General features: G+C 40.2%; 1 protein-coding gene across 13 annotated transcripts in view, besides 2 other annotated features; it reads right to left on the reverse strand.

Moving 5' to 3' along the window:
- Positions 1-24,055, reverse strand: part of NT5DC3 (5'-nucleotidase domain containing 3) — a 94,920-nt gene that overhangs the window by 69,054 nt on the left and 1,811 nt on the right. The window lies entirely within an intron of this gene.
- Positions 5,791-5,960: an enhancer, noted in NCBI's record as "experimental_23365 CRE fragment used in MPRA reporter constructs". NCBI's record gives its function as "activates a minimal promoter by MPRAs in K562 erythroleukemia cells, with activity observed for both the introgressed and non-introgressed 12:104215022 variant alleles {active_cell/tissue: K562}" and the evidence as "EXISTENCE:reporter gene assay evidence [ECO:0000049][PMID:34662402]".
- Positions 16,975-17,144: an enhancer, noted in NCBI's record as "experimental_23460 CRE fragment used in MPRA reporter constructs". NCBI's record gives its function as "activates a minimal promoter by MPRAs in K562 erythroleukemia cells, with activity observed for the introgressed 12:104226206 variant allele {active_cell/tissue: K562}" and the evidence as "EXISTENCE:reporter gene assay evidence [ECO:0000049][PMID:34662402]".

The raw sequence follows: 24,055 nt of genomic DNA on the forward strand, positions 1-24,055 counted from the left end.
TGGGCACAGAATTTCTTTTTGTGGTGATGAAAATGTTCTAAAATTGATGGTGGTGATGGTTTTGGGGGATTGAGATAAGGTCTCGCTCTGTTAACCAGACTGGAGTGCAGTGGCACAATCACAGCTCACTGCAGCCTCAATCTCTAGGGCTCAAGCAATCCACCCAACTCAGCTTCCTGAGTTGCTGGGACTACAGGCACACACCATCACACCCTACTAATTTTTGTAATTTTTGTAGAGACAGGGTCTCCCTGTGTTGCCAAGGCTGGTCTCAAACTCCTGGGCTCAAGCAACCCACCCACCTCAGCCTCCCAAAGTACTGGGATTACAGGCATGCACCTCTGTACCTGGCCAATGGTGATGGTTGAACACCTCTTGTGAACGTACTAAAAACCACTGGGAGACTTTAAAAGGGTGAATTGTATGGTATATAAATTATTCCTCAATAAAAGAACATTTGCTACCGAAAAGAACATTTGCTTCAACATCACAAAAAAGATTTGTTTAAAAAATATATTTGCAGATTTTAGAAAGTAAAAGTATAGTTAACAAAATCTAAATATCATACATCATCTCACCACCCAGAAAAAAACTACTGACATTTTATGTATTTGCTGCCAACATTCTTCTATGTATGTATTTTACATAGCTAACCTCACACTATATTTACAGGTTTGCATTGAGCTCACTAAATTTAATATTCAATCATGATCCTACACTTTTTGAGAACAAACTATTACATGAGACTTTCATATATATTGGTGTGCCATAATCAACCTACTACAGGTTGAGCATCCCTTATCCAAAACGTTTGGGAACAGGACCATTTTGGATATAGGATTTTTTCATATTTTGGAATATCTGCATTATACCTACCAATCGTGGCTCCCTAATCAAAAAGTCCGAAATTCAAAATGCTCCAATGAGTGATTGGACTATCATGTCAGCATGCAAAAGTTTGAGATTTTGGAGCATTGTGGATTTTAGATTTTCAGATCAGGTATGTCCAACCTGTACTCTATGTTACACATTTAAGTTTTTTCCTATTTAATAAAAATAACACTGCAATGAGCACCTTCATGTGTTAATCTTCACCTTTCAGATGATTTCCTTCAGATGGGTTTGTAGACGTGTGACTACCTTCTACCATCAGGGTCCACTGGATGTTAGGTTTGGGTTTCTTTTTTGAGCAGTTCTAACTATTTGTAAGGACTGCTACTTCATGATTTCTATTTTTTTCTTGGAAGCCTTTCAAAAATTCATTCTACTTTACAATTTCCATGAGTCCACTGGATGCTTTTAAAAAATCTAAGATGTGATAGAGGATGTTGGTGATCTTATTTTTCCAGTATGCTGAAATGCTTTATTATTAGAATTATTTCATCATTACCTCTCAATTATTGCCACCTATGATTTTTTAAAAGACTAAATTAAGAAAGCAGGAGAATAAGAAATTACTTAAGATAGTGCAGTAGTGAAATAAGTCATCACTATGACATCATCCTTCAGTTCTCATGGCACTGCGCAAAGAACTGCATCACTTTCAAGAAGGTATAAAAGAAGTCTGAAGATAACATCTTGGCAGTCTTTTCTTTTTTCTTTTTTTTTTTTTTGCTTTCATGGAACACTGTTGAGAAATCAGTTTTTCATTTTCCATCCATAACAGCAAAAAGAAAAAAAAAAGAAAGAAAGCTAACAGGGCAAGACATCTCACAGTTATCAGATGTGCCAGGAGGTGAATGCAGAGAGAGACAGCAGTTCTCTAGGCCTAATGATGATGGAGAAACTGATCATAAGGGTGACATCTCAGACGACGAGGCCTCCATGGCCATATCCTAGATGAAATTCAGGATCAAAGACTGAGCAATAGATTTCAAAAGACAAAAAAATGTGATATTCTCATCAGATTAATCATTTAACAGGACAAACACAATCATCCAATTTTTTATGACAAAAACACAGACTATCCTATTTTGCTAAAATTATATATGACAGTTTTTTTTTCACCTTTTATGATGTTTATGCACCAAAATTTTCTTGAAATGGCTCACAGGCAGACAAATGCTGAAGGCAGGTGACTTTTTGGAGATAGGTACATGTACATAAAACCTGAACTGTCCATATTTTACTACTTTTCACATTACTAAGGACAACCACCTGACTCTATTATAACAGCTAATATTTATTAAGCACTTACCATGTACCACATGCTATCAAGAAGACTTTACATTCTCTCATTAATCCTTCCCACAACCTTAGGAAGCAAATACTACTTTATCCCCATTTCACAAACGAAGACACTAGAGATGCATGGAAATTACTTTATTTGCTAAGGATACACCAGCACCAAATGGCAGGGCTGGGATTTGAACCTGGGAAGTTTGGCTCCAGAATCTATGTTCTTAACTCCCTTTCAGGTGCATTTTTTCCTAAAATAAAAGAAAGTCAATCCATCATTTCTGAGCTTCCCCTTTCCTTTCTACTCACTTCTTTCTGACTATGAATGGCACATAATATACTCATTCACTCTAAAAAGCCACCTGAAACGTTCAAGAAGCATTCCTCTTGCATAGTAACAGCTCCAGTCAGGGCACTGAGGCCCCAGTCAGGGACCAACCCAGCCACAGTGAGGTATTCTGAGCATTTCACAAGGCTCCTTAACAGCTTTGAGATCTGAATCCCTCTCAAAACCTAACAGAAGCTACGGAATCCTCTCCATGCATGTGCAGATTTTGCAGAAAATTTCATGGGATTCATCCCCTAAAGCCTATTCATGGCTCCCAATTAAGTTCCCACATTGCACCTAGTTTATTAAAACCAAGCCTTTATATCCCTACACAGAATTTCCAGGTCATTATGAAGGCACATGTATGAACCAATAAATTAATTTCACTCACACTGACAATCTAGATGTGACTGAGCCTACTGAAAACCCAAACAGTCAATTCACTGACAGTTCCATTTCTTTATTGGTTTTTCTTTCATCAAAATCAATGAGATAACGACCATGGCCTTTTTTTTTTTTTTAATGAAGTCTCGCTCTGTCACCCAGGCCAGAGTGCAGTGGTACAATGCCAGCTCACTGCAACCTCCACCTTCCAAGTTCAAGCAATTCTCCTGCCTCTGCCTCCCAAGTAGCTGAGATTACAGGTGTGCACCACCACGCCTGGCTAATTTTTGTATTTTTAGTAGAGACAGGGTTTCACCATGTTGGCCAGGCTAGTCTCAAACTCCTGACCTCAGGTGATCCGCCTGCCTCCATCTCCCAAAGTGCTGGGGTTACCAGCGTGAGCCACTGCACCCAGCCACAACAACCATGGCTTTCATTTTTATTTTGCCAATAAGACATATCTGTTACAGACATTTAAGAAACTTAGAGTCAGGTAGTTCACAAGAACTGGTTCTAGGGAAGAGGAGAAGCTGGCAGACCTAAGCTCTTTGATATCTAATACTGAAGATCCTCTGGCCTTATATAAATCAATGGGCCATTGCTGATGATATTTTCTGAATACGACCACGTGGCATCGTCCATATGATGCAAGTGAAGGGGAATCGCTTACAGAATGAGCAAAAGCTCCACTTTCACAAATGACCTTTCCAAAGGAGGTTCAAACAGCCTGCTTAATTAGAAGTTTATATTTAGAAATGGTGTTGGCAAGAAAGTCTCCCTCCCTTCCTGCTACCTCAGAAGACTATGTGAAGCCCTCAAGGAAAAACTACTATGATAAAAAATCGTGACTGGTCAGCACATCTCCAAAAGCTGCATGGGAATTCCCCTGTGGGAGTGAAAGCCTGAGACACGTACATCACATGACACCATCACCTGAAAGCCTGGATGTTTAAAGTGTCATCCTCGAACACGAGGAGCAGCATCTTAAAGGGATCTTGGCACCCCGTGCAAACTTTAGGAAGAAAAGTTAAGAACAAACATGAATAATTACAAAGCAAAAGAAAAAGAACGCCAACCACTCACAAAAACAGAAACAGTCTGGCTAAACTTTAGACTCTAAAGTATAAACTGAATGCCTCTTGACTAGTCACTTACACACTTTCTCAAAGGAGAAACAAGAGTGGGTACCAATTTAGAAAGTGAATTCCTTTGTACATAGTGGATGATGACAGCAAGACTATACAATCAGTACAAAGAAATGGAGAGACAGCTCTGTTGCTGTGGCCACAGCTTGAGCAAAACTCAGTTCCAATGCAAGCCACTCTGAGCTGGGAGCTGTGCACCCTCCAGCACACAGTGTGGCAAGCTGGAAAGCCCCTGGCACTTCCAGTTTTCAGCAGCTTCCAGCTTTTCGTCTGCTTATCCCACAGAGCACTGGGAAATGTGGTGAACAACCTATAGGAAAAACTGGTAAGCTTTCTGTTTTGGTTCTGGTTTTTTGTGTTTTTTATTGTGGCAAAATATACATTACATAAAGTTTACCATGTTAACCATTGCTAAGAGTGCAATTCAGTGGTATTAAGCACATTCACCTTGTGCAACCATCACCACCATCCAGCTCCAGAATTCTTTTCTTCTTGCAAAACTGAAACTCTGTACCCATTAAAAAACTCCTCATTCACCCCAGCTTTCCCAGCAACTACCGCTCCACTTTCTGTCTCTATGAATCTGACTATTCTAGGAACCTCATAGAAGTGGAGTCATATGGTCTTTGTCTTTTTGCATAATGACCTCAAGGTTCATCCATGGTGTAGCATATGTCAGCCTCTCCTTCCTAAGGCTGCACAGTCCATTGTAGACATAAACCACCTTTTGTTTATCCATTTGTCAATCAACAGGCCATTGGGTTGCTTCTACCTTCTGGCTGTTATGAATAATGCTGCTATGAACATACAAGTATCTGTTCAAATCCTCGTTTCCAATCTTTTTGGGTGCATACCTAGAAGGGGAATTCTTGAATCATATGGTAATCCTATTTTTCATTGTTTTAGGAACTGCCCTACTGTTTTCCATAGTGGCTGCTCCATTTTGTTTTGCTTTTTTAAGGCCATCACAGAAAAATACCATTTCTTGTCTAAATTTTATCATTACTGTTGACAGAGAGAGAATATGAAAGAAGGCAGAACCTCATTCTGGTACAGAAGTCAGACACTTTCCACTTATTCAAGGAAACATTTTTAAGCTGTGTAAAGATGTGAGCTTGGAAAGTACAATTTTTGCCAAGTACTTTGTCTTCTTTAATGCTCAGAAATGCTAAATGACTCTCCCTTAGTACAGGCCTAGAGCTTGGCAGAGCTGTCACAGAGCAGTGTGTGGAGACAACACCAAGCAGAAATTCATGGCCTGATTGATGTCAATGAATATTTATTCTTAATGTTTTAAAAAAATATGATGTGCCTGTCACTCAGGCCTTAGGCACACAGTACTGGAGAGCTCTAAAAGTTTACCAAATGCATTACTTGCTCTCATCGTTATCCCAGGAACCAGTCAGATAAAGACAGGAGGGTGCGAAGGATGGATCTGACAAACCGAGGTCCCAAAGGCTGCCTGTGGTAAGCGATGGCTGTGGGCACTGGGTGTCTGGGCCCCTCCAGTGTGGCTGTGCCATCTCATACTTGCTCCCATCCAGTTGGCTCCACTTTCCAGACACATGGGGAGGATCATAATCCTCCCTCCACTCCTCACCCCGACTCTGGCCAGCTCTGGTCACAACAGATCACAGGCAGAAGAGACATGTGTCACTTCTAGAGCTGGGCACACTCCCTTCTCCTACCGTGCCTATCATGGAGATATGATACAGGCACTACAACATGAAGTGGAGGCTGGAAGGCTAAGCCACCACGTGGAGCTGACTGCCCTGCAGAGTTGTGGGGGTCCCCCAGTAGACTCTGCAAGAGTGAGAAATAGGATTTGTTATAGCTGTCTGTAATAAGCCACTGGGATTTTGGTGTTGCTTGTCACTGCAGCATAACCTAGCCTAACCTGACTGATAAACCTTCAATACCATGATTTTGTTGGGAAACCTCTCCTCCCCAACATTCAAACTGTATGGTCTCATGGGGTTCCATTCCTGACTCCAGAAGGAGGGCATGTAACCCAGGCCTGGCCTAACAGAGCACCTGAATTCCCTTAAGAATGCTGACTAGTTTGAGGCAGACATGGGATCCCCTCCAGCCAATCATCATACTTTCTCTACAGCCAAAGTGAACCAATAAGTCCAATCAGGTCAATTTCTGGATTTGTAAGGGAATTTCAGGGAAGAGGCACTCTTTTCTTCCAAAGGTAGATTTAAGAGAACATAAATCTGGAGATGTGAGGGGCCACTGCTAGGAACCTGGAAAAGATGTCAACGGGAAAGAGTTAAGTTTTCTATTGCTTACATCCAAAGGAATTCTAAAAAAGTTTATTTTAAGAAAATTCAGCCACTCAAACTTCTGACGATAAATTTTTAACTTTTTAACCTGGTATCAAAGGCATTCCCTATGTATACTTTAATCCATTTCTCCAATCTTAAATTCTCCTTCCCATGCCCTACTTTCAACAAGATGGGTCATCCACTGCTCTGTGTTCTCCAACATATGCTGTAGCTGAATACTGACCAGAGTTACATCTGCCTGGAATATTCTGTCTCTGTCTAATGTCTATGCATAAACACCAATCAGCTATGTGAAAAGAATGTCAAGTAAGACTTTCCTTCAAATTATGCTATAAAACAAAACACCATGTGAGTCAGAGTTTAAAAATTTTAAACATTAAAAAGGTAGAAAAAGAAACATGCGAGTCAGAGTTTAAAATTTTTGAACATTAAAAACAAGAATATATACCATTTATTTCATCTCTGAATAAAACATAACTTTCCAAATGTTAAAAAAAAAAAAGCAACAGAATAAATCACGAAGAAAACTATTGACAGATTTGCAACATAAGATTTTTTAACACCTATGCATCTAAAAATATGAAAACAACAATTTGGGGAAAGAGGTGAGTATATTAGACCAAAAAATTGAAAAGACAAACAGCAATGGTCTAGTATTCTTAATATTTTAAAAATCCATACAAAAGGAAATTAAATAGCTGGTAAACTAAATGTTCAACCACTCGAATTACCAAAAAAAGCGAATTAAAACAAGTAAACACAGTTAACAGTAGATGTCTCAACAGGTGGAATTGCAAATGTCTCTACTGTCTTTATTTCATTTACATGGTTTTCTATAATAAGCATGTGTTATTTGGCTAAGAAATAAAGTAAGAAGTCATTTTCCTCTTGTCAGATTGCAGCAGTGTTTCTGCTGCTAGTGGTAGTGCTATCCGTGTGTGTTGTTTTGGGGGTGTTCTATTCTTGTTTTGTCTGTAATAACGGAATCTGGTGCCAGGACCTGGGCAGCTTCACTCCTTGCTGTTTAAGAATATAAATCAGAACAAGCTTTCTAGAAAACAGCTTGGCAATATGTATCAAGAGTCTGTTAAAAATATTCATACCCTTTGACCCAGTAATTCCCTTTCCAGGAATCTATGCTAAGGAAATAGAGATATAGGTAAAGATTTATATGCAAACATTTTGTTGCATTGATATTAATAAAGCAAAAACTGGGGGAAAACATGCTCCATTTGGAGGCCCAAACGTACATCTCAGATATTTGAACTCAGAAACCCTACTATGTTAGCAAGAATATGATCAGAGAAGGTGAGATACACTTGAAAATCCTTAAAAGTTCAATTGTATTGATAAAGTAAATCACAATCCCAGAGACACTAAGATGGCATTTTTCTTTAGTTATGATTTTTATTTTTGGTATATGTCCTAGATTTCAAGCTGTTTTTCTAGAAAAAAAGAATATACAGATCAGGAGTCCCTGAAGAAGAAATGGAAGAGGTGAAAAATTTCCCGGAGAATTTTAGAAGTTACAAAAAAAAAAAAACAGAAAAAGCCTCCATTCTCCACTACCCTCCATGTACCACGAGGCTTTCCGTGAATCTCCCCAGTGCTCAGTCAACCAAAAAGTTAATCTAGTGGATAATAATTATGTGCATTTACTATATACCAGGCACTAAGAAGTACACGACCTCACTTAATGCAAGACACTATTATACCCATTTCACAGAGGAAAATGAAGATGAAATTAACAGCTCGAGGTCACATTTTAAATATCTATTTCTATGTTCCTAAATCAACAAAACAGAGCATTTTTTTGGTTTGTTTTCTGGGTGTTTTTTAATTTGCTTTTCCCTAATTGGACCAAATCTCAACTTCTGTTTATATTTCATAATATTCATATACTTCAAGAATACTCCCAGATATTCCAAATACTTTAAGATTTCATATTTATTTAACATGGCTTCAAATTCTCCTTTAAAAGTTCACGTGTAGATTGAAAACATCAAGGTTTCAAAATTTCTTTTAAAAGTATACCTATGGATTGGAAATGTGAAAATAAGCATAGGCATTTTTTGTTTCTACACTGAGGCAGTATTTACCCTTTCCATTAACTCCACTACAGGTGAACTCAAGGTCCTATATCCAAATTTTAAACTTTTAAACTTCACATCCCTAACTGCCAGTGAAAATGACAAGAAAAAGACACCCTAATTCAGGTGTTTTATCTCCTAGTAACTTTCACCAAGTTCCAACTTCCTTCTGCCCAGTCAGGCTAGGCACAGGGCAGTAAAGTCAGTTCTGCTATTAATGGTTGAAACATGTGAACCTCTTCTAATATGCTAGGGAACAAGCTGATCATAATGCAATTTCACATTTGTTTATGTTTTGGTATGTTACACTCAGTGCCAACAAATGTTATTTGATATAGTTGTGTCCACTTAATATCCTTTCTGCTAATAATTCATTACAGTAAAGGAAACAGTTGAATAGAAAGTGTGACTTTGAAGGCCAAGGTTGAGATGACAATTCTTAAGAGTGTGTAACTGTTAGACCTTAAAGAGATTTAAATTTTTACCCAGAAACTGTTTTCTCCAGTATCTCTAATAACCACTCTGTTTTAAGTCATTTTTACTTCTGCAACAGTCCAATGGCAGATGTTGAGACGAAACAAAATGCCCAAGGTATCCTTTCCACGGTGAAAGTGAACACTGATAGGGTTACCTGCCCAGCATGCTCCAATCCTTATGTAAGAAGTGACTCTTCTCCAGTTTCTTCTGGGACCTGCCCCTCCAGTCACAGCTGCTGGTCCAGGGCAGAACACCTGACTCACGCTGGGCCACTCCTGAGGTGGGTACCAGATTCAAGCCAGGCTAAACTGGAGTCCTTCTCTTATTTCTGTATTTTCACTTTATAGTTTTATTGAGGTGCAATATAATAAATTGCACATAAAGTATACAGTTTGATGGGGTTTGACATATGCTGCAGAGACATCTGTGATGCCACCAACACAATAAAGGCAATGAGCACCTAACACCCCCTAGCCTTTCCTCACATTCCCTTAAATTCCAGCCCACCCTCCCTCCACCCCTGCCCAGCCCCAGGCCCTACTCATTTTCTTTTGGTAAGATTCCTTTGCATTTGCTAGAATTTTACATCAGTGAGATCATACAACCTGTAGTATCCTTGTAAATTGGTTTTCTCATTTACTAGATCCATAGGAAATCCTTTTCAATAAGCACTTACCATATCTACAATGTGCCAGACAGTGCACAGGGCACCACATGGGGATTATAAATACAGAGCAATATCACAGGCAGTGGGGAAGACCAACAAACATCACACTGATGCAAGACAGAGGAACTTGGCATGGGGCTGGGCATGCCCCCCCGGGAAGAGGCAATTCAAGAGTCAGTTTCATTGTGTCTGATAATCTAAGAAGAAACATTCATTTTTCCATTAGTTTATATATTTTGCATCGTCTCCGAGGAGAAGCAATCCATGACAAATACAATTACTCATCTGACTAACTAATAATGCACATGACATTTATACTACTCCCACCAAAAGTTAAAATTATACCTCTTATTACCCTGTAAGTAATATCTGTATTTTGACTACTCCACAGAAATCCATCACACTTCTTGAAGTTACAAAAATAAAACTACATACAACTACATTTGAAATAAAATTAAATATAGTAATGGTTTAATGACAACCTAATCTTTAAAAAAAATCTTTAAAAAAATCAACGGAACTGATCAAAAAGAAAAGTACATTCAGCTTCAGGGGAAAAAGTCCTTAGAAAAAGAAAATTGTGCATGGCACAGTGGCTCACACTTGTAATCCCAATGCTTTGGGAGGCCAAGGCAGAAGGATGGCTTGAAGCCAGGAGTTCAAGACCAGCCTGCGGAGCAAATCAAAACTCTGTCTCTAAAAAAAAATTTTAAAAGTAGCCAGGCACAGGTAGCTAATTGGGAGGCTGAGATAGAAGGATCCCTTGAGCCCAGGAGTTCAAGGCTGCAATGAGCTTGACTGTGCCACTGCACTGTAGCCTAGGAAACAGAGCAAGACCCTATCGAAGAGAAGAGAGCCATGTCGAATGATCAAAAAATAGGCAAACTCAAAAATTTTTCATTAGAATATACAGGAAGTAGAAAAGAAATATGTATGCCTATATAAATGCCATCCACATGCTGTGCACCGGGTTCTTCTCATTCATCACCTCAATTAATGTCCCAAGAACTCCATGAAGTAAATACTACAATCCCTCATATGCAGATGGGGAAAATAAGGCTAAGCAGCAGCTGGCCCAAAGTCACACAGCCATTAAACATTACAAGGTAGGTCAAATGTTTGGCACAGTGCTTGGCTCAAAGTAGGTGCTTCCTAACTGTCAGTCCCTTCTTTTTTCTATTCATTCATTCAACAAATAATTTTTCCTAGATCAGCAGTTACCAGCATAATCTGGGAAACCTCCCCAACCTCCTCTCCAGGGAATCTTTGAGATCAAAACTATTCTCATAGTAAGATGTGGCAGACAGAATAATGGCTCTCCAAAGATATCCACGTCCTAATCCCTAGAACCTGTGAATATGTTATCTTACATGGCAAGGGAGAATTAAGGTTGCAGATGGATTAAGATTGGTATCAGCTGACTTTCAAATAAAGTTATTAGCCTGGATTATCCAGGTGGACCCAATGTAATCACAAGGGTCCTTAAGTGTGGAAAAGGAGGGCAGAAGATTCAGTGTGAGAGGGATGTGATTTGAGAAAGACTCAGAAAGCCATTGCTGGCTTTGAAAATGCAAGGGGCTACAAACAATGTGGGGAGCCTCTAGAAACTGAAAAGCTTAAGAAAACTGTCTCCCCCAGAACCTCCAGAAAGAAATGCAGTCCTGCAACACCTTGATTTTACCCCAGTGAGATCTATGTCAGACTTTTAACTTCCAGAACTATGAAGACAATATATTGTACTGTTGTCAATCACTAATTTGTGGTAATTTGTTACAGAAGCAATGAAAATTAAATACAGAGACAATCTGCCTTTTTCACTCTCACCTCTTTTGCCAGAGGATACTGCAATAGACAGAATCAGATTTAAGAATCTGTCTATTAATCCAGACACCACAGAACTTTGCACAAATATAAAACCATGACATTCTTCTAAATTTCTTTTATTTTGGATAATAGTCATTTTTCATAAAAAGCATGTGATTTATGTTGACAGGTAACAGACTGGTATTTTAAATGAATCAATAAATACATATGCCTGGGCGCGGTGGCTCATGCCTGTAATCCCAGCACTTTGGGAGGCCAAGGTAGGCGGATCACCTGAGGTCAGGAGTTCGAGACCAGCCTGGCCAACATGGTGAAACCCTGTCTCTACTATAAATACAAAAAATTAGCTGGGTGTGGTAGAACACACATGTAATCCCAGCTACTCGGGAAGCTGAGGCAGGAGAATTGCTTGAACCCAGGAGATGGAGGTTACAGTGAGCTGTGATCATGCCATTGCACTTCAGCCTGGGAGTCAGAGTCAGAATTTTAAATAAATTCAGCCCGGGAATTTATTTAAAAAATAAATTAATTAAATGAATCAATAAATACATATCTTAAAATTCTCTGGGTTTTAATTTCTAATACAATCACTATCAACATAAGGGCAGAATACATTATTTAAAAGTCTACTTGAGACTAATCTATAAACCGAAACTCTAGGATCTTCAATAATTTAAAGTGTATAAAAGAGTACTGAGGGCAAAACATTTGAAAGGTCTGCTACCTTAGCTAAGGATTAATATTCACTAGTAGTGTTTCTCAAGTAGATTTTTCTGCTCGAATGAGAACAAAATATTACAGTCTATGCAGAGAGTTGCATCTCTACATACAAATTAAAATTATATTCAGGTTTATACATCATTATCTTATCAATTAACTTATCATGAAACAGTTCCTCAAAACCCTAGTGAAGTGAAAAAGAGTTACTCAAATTAAGGACCAATCCTTTAAAGTATAAAAATTTCCTATAAAACCCAGCTTGATCAATCAGCTAGCCTCTCTTTCTCTCTGCATTCTCCTAGATATAACATGTAGTATTTGACTTTTAAAAAATAATAGAATTCTATCATTGTCTTCTAAGTACTTATTTGCAAAGAAGATTTTTTTAAAGCTTTTGTTTTCCTTCTCTAAAATTACATCATGTCAATACAAGAAGGACAAAGTCAGGATTTGGCTGACCACAAACTGAACACGAATTAACTTTTAAAGTTACAGAAGTACAGTGTTTGTTCACCAAGGAAGAGCCAGTTGCTTCCCTCCACCATGAACCAGTCAGACCACACATGGTCAGGAACAAATGGTTCACTTTCAAAGGGATACTGACAAACTAGAGTGAAAGCAAAGTTGAGCTTCCAAAATGATCAAATCAAAGGTGAGTTGCAGTGATGATGCATGATCACCACCTTCATATTTAAGCGACTATCATATGGAAGGGGAATCAAAAGTACTCTCTGTGACTCAGCCATCCAAAATAAAATGGGCAGCCTTGTGATCACACAACAAGCTCAAACAGATGCCAGATGGCCACTAATAAAGTCTATGGAAAAAGGGATTCCTTCTTCCAGCAGAGGACTGAACTCTATGACCTCCAGAGGCCCCTCCACTGGCCAGAGTCTTAGGTTCTCCTATTTTAGGCATTTCTTTCCTATCTGAAAATGTGAAAGTTATGATGTGGCATGTTTCTCCCTTAAATCTTTTTACTACTTTCTTGTACGACCACAGGATCAACATCATATGCCTAAACTATGGGGAAGACTTTTAAAGAATATATCCTGCTATTTCTAAGACATAAAGAAAGGTCAAGATAATACAAAGAACACCCACATCCCTACCATCCAAGTGGGATATAAAATCCCTTCCACCCTCACCTGCAGGCTCCTCCTGCCTCTGACATTACCACTACCCAGATTTCGGTGTTTACCACTCTCCTGCATTTTTTCTTTCTTTTTATTTTTTTTTTTTGGAGACGGAGTCTCACTCTGTTGCCCAGGCTGGAGTGCAGTGGTGTGATCTCAGCTCACTGCAACACTCTGCCACACAGTTTCAAGTGATCCTCCTGCCTCGGCCTCCCAAGTAGCTGGGATTACAGGTATGCACCACCATGCCCAGTTAATTTTCGTATTTTTAGTAGAGACAGGGTTTCACCATGTTGGCCAGGCTGGTCTTGAACTCCTGGCCTCAAGTGATCTGCCCACTTTGGCCTTCCCAAGTGCTGGGATTACAAGCGTAAGCCACTGAACCCGGCCTCTCCTGCATTTCTCTAGACTTTTACCACATACATGTGTGTCCCTACAAGTAATCTATAGTATTTTTATGTGTTTTAAAACCTTTTGTAATTGGTATATGCCTGCAATACTTGCTTTTTCCTTTTTACTCAAAATTATTCTAGTGAGAGTCACCCATGTAGGTATATTTCTGTAGTTCTAGTTCAGCAGACAACACATGTTTTCTATAAAGGGTCAGTTAGTAAATATTTGGGGCTCTGCATATAGTCTCTGTTGCAACTGCTCAGCTCTGACATCCTAGCACAAAAGGAGAACCAGAAACAAATGGGTGTGGCTATGTTCCAATAAAACTTAACATACAAAAAGAGACATCAGGCTACAACTGGCCCATGAACTGTGGTTTGCAACCTTTCTTATAGTATGTATTTCCCTTTAATACCATTTCAATATTTGTTTGATATTTATAACTTGCTGGTTTTCTTTGGTTACCATTTACCCAAGATATCTTTTCCCATTCTATTAATCTCAACCTTTCTACATCTTTGTTTTGGAGTACATCTCTTATAAACAGCATCCAGCTGGAATGTTTCTTGTATCTGATCTGACAATCTGTCTTTTAATCTGAGTTTATCATGATTATTAATATATTTGGAAATATTTCCCCCATCACATTCTATGCTATTTCTTGCTTTTTCTGTGTCTTTTACCTTTTCTCCTACCCACTTTTGGACTGATTTCAACATTGTCAATATTTGTTTAGATTTATTCACATCTCTACCAATTTCTTTTTTCTCCATTTTCACTTCCATCTAAGACCTTTGGGATTTTTTTTCCTGACACATATACATCCTTTAAAAGTTCCTCCTTTAGTGAGTTCCTTGATGGTAAAGCTCTTAGCTTTTAATCAGAAAAAAAAAAAAGGTCTCTTTACACTCTTTCTTAAATGATTGAGCTAGATATACAATTCTAAATTGACATTTTTCTCTCAGCACTTTGAGGTGATCTACTGTCTTGAATGGTCTGCTATCACTGTTCAAAACTCTATCAGTCTCCTAGTCCTTTGTAGTAATAATACTATCAATAATCGTGGTTGACATTTACAAGGAACTTACTACGCAATAGGCGCTATTTTAAAAACTCTACATACATTTACTCATTTAAACCTACCAATCCTCGGAGACAGGTATTATTGTTAGCCCCATTTTACATATAAGGAAACTGAGACACACAGACATCATTTGCCTAAGGTCACATGGCTTATAAATGGTGAAGTTAAGATTTGATCCCAGGTATGTTGCTCCATGGTCTATACTATTAACTACTATGCCTTTGGGTCTTTGTGGCTACTTTTATGATATTCTCTTTGTCTTTTGTATATATTACTTCTTATTCATACTGCTTGGGATTTGCTTTGCATTCTAAATCTGAGGATTCTGTCTTTCATTTGTTTTGGAAAACTCTGAGCAATTTTTTCTTTGAGTGTTTTCTCTCCCCCATTTCCCAATCTCTCCTGCTGGAACTCCAATTAGACATATGTTTGACCTCTCACGCTATCAGTCTGTCAACTGTTTTCATAATATCCATCTCTTTGATTATATTATAGTCTGGGTAATGTTCTCAGAGTTATCCCCCAGACCACTAATTCTTTTTTCTTCTTTTTCTAATCTGCCAATTAAAATCATTCCACTAAACTTTTAATTTTAAAGATTGAAACTTTAATTTCTAAAATTTCTATTTGGTTCTTTTTAAAACCTGTCTGATCATTTTAGTAGTTTCATATTCTTTGCTCACATTTTCCATTTCATCTCTTATTTCTCCAAAAGTTTCAAACACTCATAGATAGCACTACATATATTCTTTACCTAAAAATTCCAATATCTTAAGTCCTATTCATATTAATTGTGCTGTCTGCTGAGTCTGCTGGTTCTCCCTTATGGTGGCTTATTTGTGTATTTTTAAATTTTGGATTGTAAGCTCAGATCTAATCTTGAGAATCCTAGGAGGCCTGGGTTTACGGTCTATTTATCCAGAGAGTTTGCACTGGCTTCTACCAGGAGTCCCAGATCACTATCACTCAGTTTCTCAGTTGGGATTGTGATATGGTTTGGCTCTGTGTCCCCACCCAAATCTCTCCTTGAATTGTAATCCCCATAACCCCCATGTGTCAAGGGCGGGAGCAGGTAACTGAATCATGGGGGCAGCTTCCCCCATGCTGTTCTTGTGATAGTGAGTGAGTCTCATGAGATCTGATGCTTTTATAGGCATCTGGCATTTCCCCTGCTGGCACTCATTCTCTCTCCTGATGCCCTGTGAAGAGGTGCCTTCTGCCACAATTCTAAGTTTCCCAAGGCCTCCCCAGCCATGTGGAACTGTGAGTCAATTAAACCACTTTCTTTATAAATTACCCAGTCTCCGGTATTTCTTCAAAGCAATGTAAAAGAATGGACTCATACAGATTGCCAGACAATACAAGAAGAATAAATTCAAACCCAAATCCATGTGAGGACGAGCTTGTGATTACAAGGTCACGGGACACTTCCAAAACCTGCCCCCCCACACACAGAAAAAATATCTAGAGCAAAGACCAAAAGAGAGAAGTTTCTCTATTGTCTCCCTGCACGGAAGGAAGCACTCTGTGGCCACCAGGTTTTATAGGAGAGTCTCCAACAGTGTGTGTGTGTGCGCCCAATGCCTAGTCTTCCCTCCCAGCAGGCACGACCAATAAAGGCCAACAAGTGTTCCCAGAACAGTCACACCTTCAAGGCTGGTCATCATTCGGGTTTCAGCATCCTCTTTTTTTTTTTTTTTTTTTTTTTGAGACAGAATCCCAATCTGTCACTCAGGCTGGAGTACAGCGGTGTGATCTCGGCTCACTGCAACCTTCACTTCCCGGGTTCAAGCCAATTCTCACGCCTCAGCCTCCCAAGTGGCTGGGATTACAGGCTCATGCCACCTCGTCCAGCTAATTTTTGTATTTTTAGTAGAGACAGGGTTTCACCATGTTGCCCAGGCTGGTCTCAAACTCCTGGCCCCAAGTGATCTGCCCACCTCGGCTTCCCAAAGCTCTGGGATTACAGGCCTGAGCCACCACGCCTGGCCTCGGCTTCCTCTTCATTATTAGTCCTTGAGATTTCTCCAGTTTCTCAGAGTTCAGTTATGACTTCAAGAGAAAGTCCTCTATATTTTTTTTCAGCGTGTGGGTATTCTATACAAAAAGGTTTTTAGACGATCTAGTCTGCCAGACTGCTGAAAGCCAAAGTCCAAAAGAACTCTTGACGGTTAGAGGACATCTGTTTCCACATGTCTTTAAGAGTTCAATAAAAGATTGGTTTCCAAACCCGGCCTGTAAAAATATAGATTCCCGGGTCTTACCTCCACATTTTAGGAATCAGAATCTCCAGGGTTAGGGCCTCAGAATTTCCATTTTTAAACAAGCTTCCCAGGTGATTCCGATGTGCCTATCAGTTTGAGGACCACTGAATTCTTTTTTTTAATTTGTCTTACCTTCAAAAGCTGGCAAAAAAATTATTTAATCTCCTTTTTGTATTTTTTCTCCTTTCACTTCCTCTTTACCCTACCCAGAATTTACACCCTAATGAAAGGGGAAAATGAACTCTAGCTTTCAACTGGTAGATCAGCGAGCCACCTCCACGGCAATTACAGAAAATCATAACACTCAGCAGCAAAAGTCAGGCCAAAAAATATCATTATTCCAGGCAGGCTTCTTGACCCAGCAGCAAATTTAAATCTAAAAAACAGTCCCCATGCTGAGTTCTGCCTCCATAAGGATCATTGAGCATAACAGCTCAATCCTTCAAACTTTCCTAAAGCGTAACAGAAGCACTAAATGAGCACTGGGTCACCAGAAGACACTAAGATTCCCCTGGAATCCCCTGAAGTTATATACAAAATCATTTGTGTGTGCTCAAGTATTATGTGTAATACTGCAAATGTGTCTTTTTATAAAGAAAAAACACACAGCTTTCTCCAGATTCTCAGTGGGTCCTATGACTCCATTACTCTATATCCCTGCTGCGTAGAAAAAGCACATTTCTGGTTGTAAGCATCTTTCAGTATTATCAACATATGTTCTTATTAGGCATATTATTATAACTTCCCAAGTATATTCTGTCAAGCCTCAAAATAGACTTATCACCTCAAAAAGGGGCCTCCACAGTCAAATTTACTTGGGAAGCACTAAACCTACTACCCCCGTCATTCATTTTAGAGATTCATTCATTTTAAAGGCTCTGACTCACTAGCTCCGAAGCTAGCTCTGAAAAGCCCAGCTACAAAGAAGCTTCTTTAACATGTATTTTCTACATCTCTTTAACCACATCTCTCAAAAGATTGTGAAACAGTCTGAGAAATATTGGTCTAATTTTAAAATTATCTCAAGAGTATCTTTAACCCAATGCAGTTGCTTGAGGAACTTATGCTTACTATTACTATTCACTGTATTTAATATTACATATTATATAGAATTATTATTATCCTTGTGTCTTATGCTTATACACGCTAAGCTTACATCATCATGTAGACACAGTCCTCACTAAATACAGCACATAATTTTTGACTGATTAGTAAATGGTCTCCACCCAGAACTTTGAATAAATCTTTCAACACCCTATAAAAGCTTCTAACTAATCCCCATACTTCTTTCCACAATTTAATACAGCCTATAACCCCAGCCAAGTAGTGAAACATTCTAAATAAACCAGGCTCCAAGATTAATTCTAATGAAAAAAAAAAAAAATCCGTGCGACTAACAAAATATAAGGTTGGAGCAACCCGTCTTGGAGGAGTAGGAAGGCTTCCATTCTGTACCTAACAGGACAGGCCAAGTATCTGATGAGCACACCTGGAAGGCCAGAGCTTGAGTTCAAAGAAGACACACGCAACATTAAAGCACAACAGAAAAGAAGAGACCACACATAGGCATATCCAGCCCTTTCAATTATGATCACACGAAGATTTCTTAGAATTCATTTTAGAACGAGGATTCTCAACCTTGGCACTACCAACAGTTGAGGCCAGATAATTCTTTGTTGTGGGATATTGCCCTGTGCACTGTAGGATGTTTAGCAGCAACCCTGGCCTCTAGAGGCCAGCAGCACCCCTCTCCCCTGGCTGTGACAAAAAGGTCTCCAGGCATTGCCAAACATCCCTTGGGGAACAAAACTGCCCCTCCAGCTCCCACTGAGAACCACTGCTCCAGGGGAAAACTGCAGCAGCTAATGTTTTTGCTACAGGTTTAAACCAGTTATTTCTTTTCCTAAAAATATAAAGAAGCTTTTCTTGAGCTGAGTTTGATACAGGATGCATAAACATTCACACATCCAAAAATCCCAAGTTAAAAAAGGAAAAAGGAAAACATTCCAATTGAGGGACATTCTGCAAAGTATGTAACCAGTACTCCTCAAAACTGTAGGTCATCAAAAACAGGAAAAAGTCTGAGAAACTGTTACAGCCTAAAGAAGCCGAACAGACACGACAACTAAATGTAGTGTGCTATCCTGGATGGCAGGCTGGAAGAAAAAAAGGAGGGTAGGTAAATACGAAGGAAAACTGAGTAAACAATGAATAATGTATCAGTATTGGTTCATTAATTGGAACAAATATAGGAATGTGAGAGATTAATAAGAGAAATGGGTGTAGGGCTTACAAAAACTATGTCATTTTTCTGTAAATCTAAAGCTGATCTAAAAAATAAAGTTTTTAAAAAAACTTTTTAATTAAAATGACAAGAAGGATGGGAGAGAAAGGATAAAACAAAGCTTTAAAAAGCATCCTTTCCCTGTGCAGGCTTCACTCTGGGAGCCTTTTAAAGGGAAGACACCTGAACAGATTGTTTGGATGAAAGAAACAGATCAAGTGGCCAGAAAGAAAGTAAGAAAATAAAATTATTTTGTCCTCTTGCAACTGGGGGTGGGGAGATCTACATGTTTTAAATGAATTCATCGGTACTTCTTCTGACTGTGCCTTCCTACAAGACAAAGCTCAAGGGTCAGCCTCAGAGACACATTTCCCGCATCCCTGAGCCCCTGGGCCTCGCTGCTTGCCTCCCCTGAGGTAGAATGTCACTCATCTGTTTACCAGAATCCTCATCCATGCAACACTGGTCCCCAGCTCTGTACAGGCAGTAACTCAGCCGCTGTTGAACCCTCCCTATCAGACTCATCCAACTGTGAACCAGCAGCCTTCAAACCCACTGCTGGGTGCTTAATAAATGCTTGTTGGATGAACTCAAGCTGGGCACATAAATTCACACAGACTTCAACAAGAGGAGAGAAGGAATGGTGCAGTTCTGGACAAGACAAAGAAGAAAAAGCCTCATGAATGACCCCACATTCTCAGGGGTAATAGGGACCACATGCATTTGTGCTGTGGGCATGAAGAGAAGATAGGGTCCACCGAATCCTGTACCTCTAACACGTGAATACTTCAAACACTTAAAAAGACTTGGATATTATTTAGTGCAGTGGCCTCATTTTACAGAGACAGAAACCAAAGCCAGGAGGGATTTGGTGACTTGCTCAAGGACACAAAGCTAGTTATGGCACCGCCCTAATCACAAGGAGACCCAGACTCTAGAGCTAAATAACCCACCTCCACCTCTTACTAAATGTGCTAAGACTGATAGTTATTTCATAATTAATAATAATAGCTACTATCTACTGAGCATCTGCTGGGTGCCAAGCACACACTAAAAATCTCCACCTTAATCCCATATCGCAATGGAGGAAACCAAGGTCAGAGAGGAAAGTAACACGGCTGTCATACTCCAAAATCCTCCTCGGACTGTCACACATCAAAGCCCAAACTCTGGTCCAACGGTATATCAGTCCATTTTCACGCTGCTGATAAAGACATAATTGAGACTGGGAAGAAAAAAGATGTTTAACTGGACTTACAGTTCCACATGGCTGGGGAGGCCTCAGAATCATGGCGGGAGGTGAAAGACACTTCTCACATGGCGGCAGCAACAGAAAAATGAAGCAGCAGCAAAAGCGGAAACCCCTGATAAGCCTATCAGATCTCGTGAGACTTATTCACTATCACGAGAATAGCATGGGAAAGACCAGCCCCCATGATTCAATTACCTCCCCCTGGGTCCCTCCCACAACATGTGGGAAATCTGGGAGATGGTATTCAAGATGAGATCTGGGTGGGGACACAGAGCCAAACCACATCATTCCGCCCCTGGTCCCTCCAATCTCATGTCCTCACATTTCAAAACCAATCATGCCTTCCCAACAGTACCCCAAAGTCTTAACTCATTTCAGCACTAACCATAACTCCACAGTCCAAAGTCTCATCTAAGACAAGATAAGTCCCTTCCGCCTATGAGCCTGTAAAATCAAAAGCAAGCTAGTTACTTCCCAGATACAATGGCGGTACGGGTATTGGGTAAATAGAGCCATTCCAAATGGGAGAAATTGGCCAAAACAAAGGGGTTACAGGCCCCATGCATGTCCAAAATCCAGCCAGGCAGTCAAATTTTAAAGCTCCAAAATGATCTCCTTTGACTCCAGGTCTCTACATGGACTACATTTAGTTGTCATGTCTGTTCAGCTTCTTTAGGCTAAAACAGTTTCTCAGACTTTTCCCCGTTTTTGATGACCTACAGTTTTGAGGAGTACTGGTTATATACTTTGTAGAAAGTCCCTCAATTGGAATGTTTTCCTTTTTCCTTTTTTAACTTGGGATTTTGGGACGTGTGAATGTTTATGCATCCTGTATCGGCATGACATCCAGGTCACACTGATGCAAGAGGTGGGTTCCCATGCTCTTGGGCCGCTTCGCTCCTGTGGCTTTGCAGGGTACAGCCTCCCTCCCAGCTGCTTTCACGGGTGGGCGTCGAATGTCTGTCTGTGGCTTCTGCAGGTGCAAGCTGTCGGTGGATCTACTATTCCGGGGTCTGGAGGAGAGTGGCCCTCTTCTCGCAGCTCCACTAGGCAGTACCCCAGTAGGGACTCTGTGTGGGGGCTCCCACCACACATTTCCCTTCCGCAATGCCCTAGCAGAAGTTCTACATGAGGGCCCCGTCTCTGCAGCAAACTTTTGCCCGGGCATCCAGGTGTTTCCATACATCTTCTGAAATCTAGGTAGAGGTTCCCAAACTCGATTCTTGACTTCGGTGCACCCGTAGGCTCAACACAATGTGGAAGCTGACGAGGCTTGGGGTTTCCACCCTCTGAAGCCACAGCCCAAGCTCTACATTGGCCTCTTCCAGCCACAGCTGGAGCAGCTAGGACACAGCGCACACAGCATGGGGCCTGGGCCCAGCCCACTAAACCACTTTTCCCTCCTGGGCCTCCAAGCATGTAATGGGAAAGACTGCCATGAAGGTCTCTGACATGGCCTAGAGACATTTTCCCCATGGTCTTGGGAATTAACATTAGGCTCTTTGCTACTTATGCAAATTTCTGCAGGCGGCTTAAAGTTCCCCTCAAAAAAAAATGGGTTTTTCTTTTCTACTGCATCGTCAGCCTGCAAATTTTCGGAGCTTTTATGCTCTGTTTCCCTTTTAAAACTGAATGCCTTTAATAGCACCCAAGTCACTTCTTGAATGCTTTGCTGCTTAGAAATTTCTTCCACCAGATACCCTAAATCATCTCTCTCAAGTTCAAAGTTCCACAAATCTCTAGGGCAGGGGCAAAATGCCGCCAACCTCTTTGCTAAAACATAACAAAAGTTACCTTTGCTCCAGTTCCCAACAAGTTCCTCACCTACATCTGAGACTACTTCAGCCTGGACCTTATTGTTCATATCACTATCAGCATTTTTGTCAAAGCCATTCAACAAGTCTCTAGGAGGTTCCAAACTTTCCCACATTTTCTTGTCTTCTTCTGAGTCCTCCAAACTGTTCCAACCTCTGCCTGTTACCCAGCTCCAAAGTCGCTTCCACATTTTCAGGTGTCTTTTCAGCAACACCCCACTCTACTGGTACCAATTTACTGTATCAGTCCATTTTCATGCTGCTAATAAAGACACACCTGGGACTGGGAAGAAAAAGAGGTTTACTTGGACTTATAGTTCCACATGGCCACAGAGGCCTCAGAATCATGGCGGGAGGTGAAAAGCACTTCTTACATGGCGGCAGCAAGAGAATAATGAGGAAGAAGCAAAAGCGGAAACCCCTGATAAACTCATCAGATCTCAAGACTTATTCACTATCATGAGAATAGCACAAGAAAGACTATCCCCCATAATTCAATTACCTCCCCCTGGGTCCCTCCCAAAGTACATGGGAATTCTGGGAGATATGATTCAAGTTGAGATTTTGGTGGGGACACAGCCAAACCATATCACAAGGTGATCTTCCCCATCCCATGCTTCAGCTGTCTCATGCGCCAGGCACTGTCCTAAATGCCTTTCATGGATGGACTCATCCATTGCTCACCTGAACCCTATGATGCTACTGCTACCTGCAGCCCCATTTTACAGATGAAGAAACTCAAGCCTATTTTGACCTCCCAGTTCTCACAGGCAGCAAGCAACAAACCTTATCCATAAATCAGGATGGCAAAAATTTTGCCTGCAGTTTCTTATAAAACTAAACATGCAATTGCCATTTGACCCAGCAATTGTACTCTTTGGCATTTAGAGAAATGAAAATGTATGTTCACACAAAAACCTGTACACAAATGTCTACAACATCTTTATTTGTAACAGCCAAAGACTGGGAGCAACCCAAATGTCCTTTGAACTATGGGTAAATGGTTCAATAGAGTTAATCTGTGGTTAAACAAACAATTAAACTGTTTTATGTACATACCATGAAATAACAGCAAAAAGGAATGCACTATTGATACAATACACATAACACTGGATAAAACTCCAGGAAATTATACTTGGTGAAAAAAAACAACTCCAAAAGGTTACATACTGTATGACTCCATCAGCCTAACATTTTTGAAATGACAAAATTTTAGAAATGGAGAACAAATAGTGCTCCAGGGATTGGGGACAAGGGAGAACATGATGGGGGAGATGGGTGGGGCTATAAAGACCGAATGAGGGATCTTTATGAGGAACTGTTCAGTCCCTTGACTGTGGTGGTGGATACATGAACCTACATGTGAGAAAACTGTACAGAAATACATCTGTGCTCTCATGCATGTGCACACACAAGTACAAATAAAATGACACTCTGATCTGTGGCCTGTATCAATATATACTGTTGTGATAATGTACTACTGTTCTGCAAAATGTTACCACTGGGAGAAATTGGATAAAGTGTATGCCAGATCTCCCTCTATTAGTCCTTTTCTGTTTATTTTTTACACAGGGTCTGGCTCTGCCAACCAGGCCGGAGTACAGTGTTGCAATCTCAACTCACTGCAGTCTCAACCTTCCAGGCTCAAGCGATCCTCCCCAACTCAAGCCTCCCAAGTAGCTGGGACCACAGGTGTGAGCCACGACGCCTGCCTAAATTTTGCA

This window comes from Homo sapiens, chromosome 12, assembly GCF_000001405.40.
Source record: "Homo sapiens chromosome 12, GRCh38.p14 Primary Assembly".
Taxonomy (NCBI): Eukaryota; Metazoa; Chordata; class Mammalia; order Primates; family Hominidae; genus Homo; species Homo sapiens.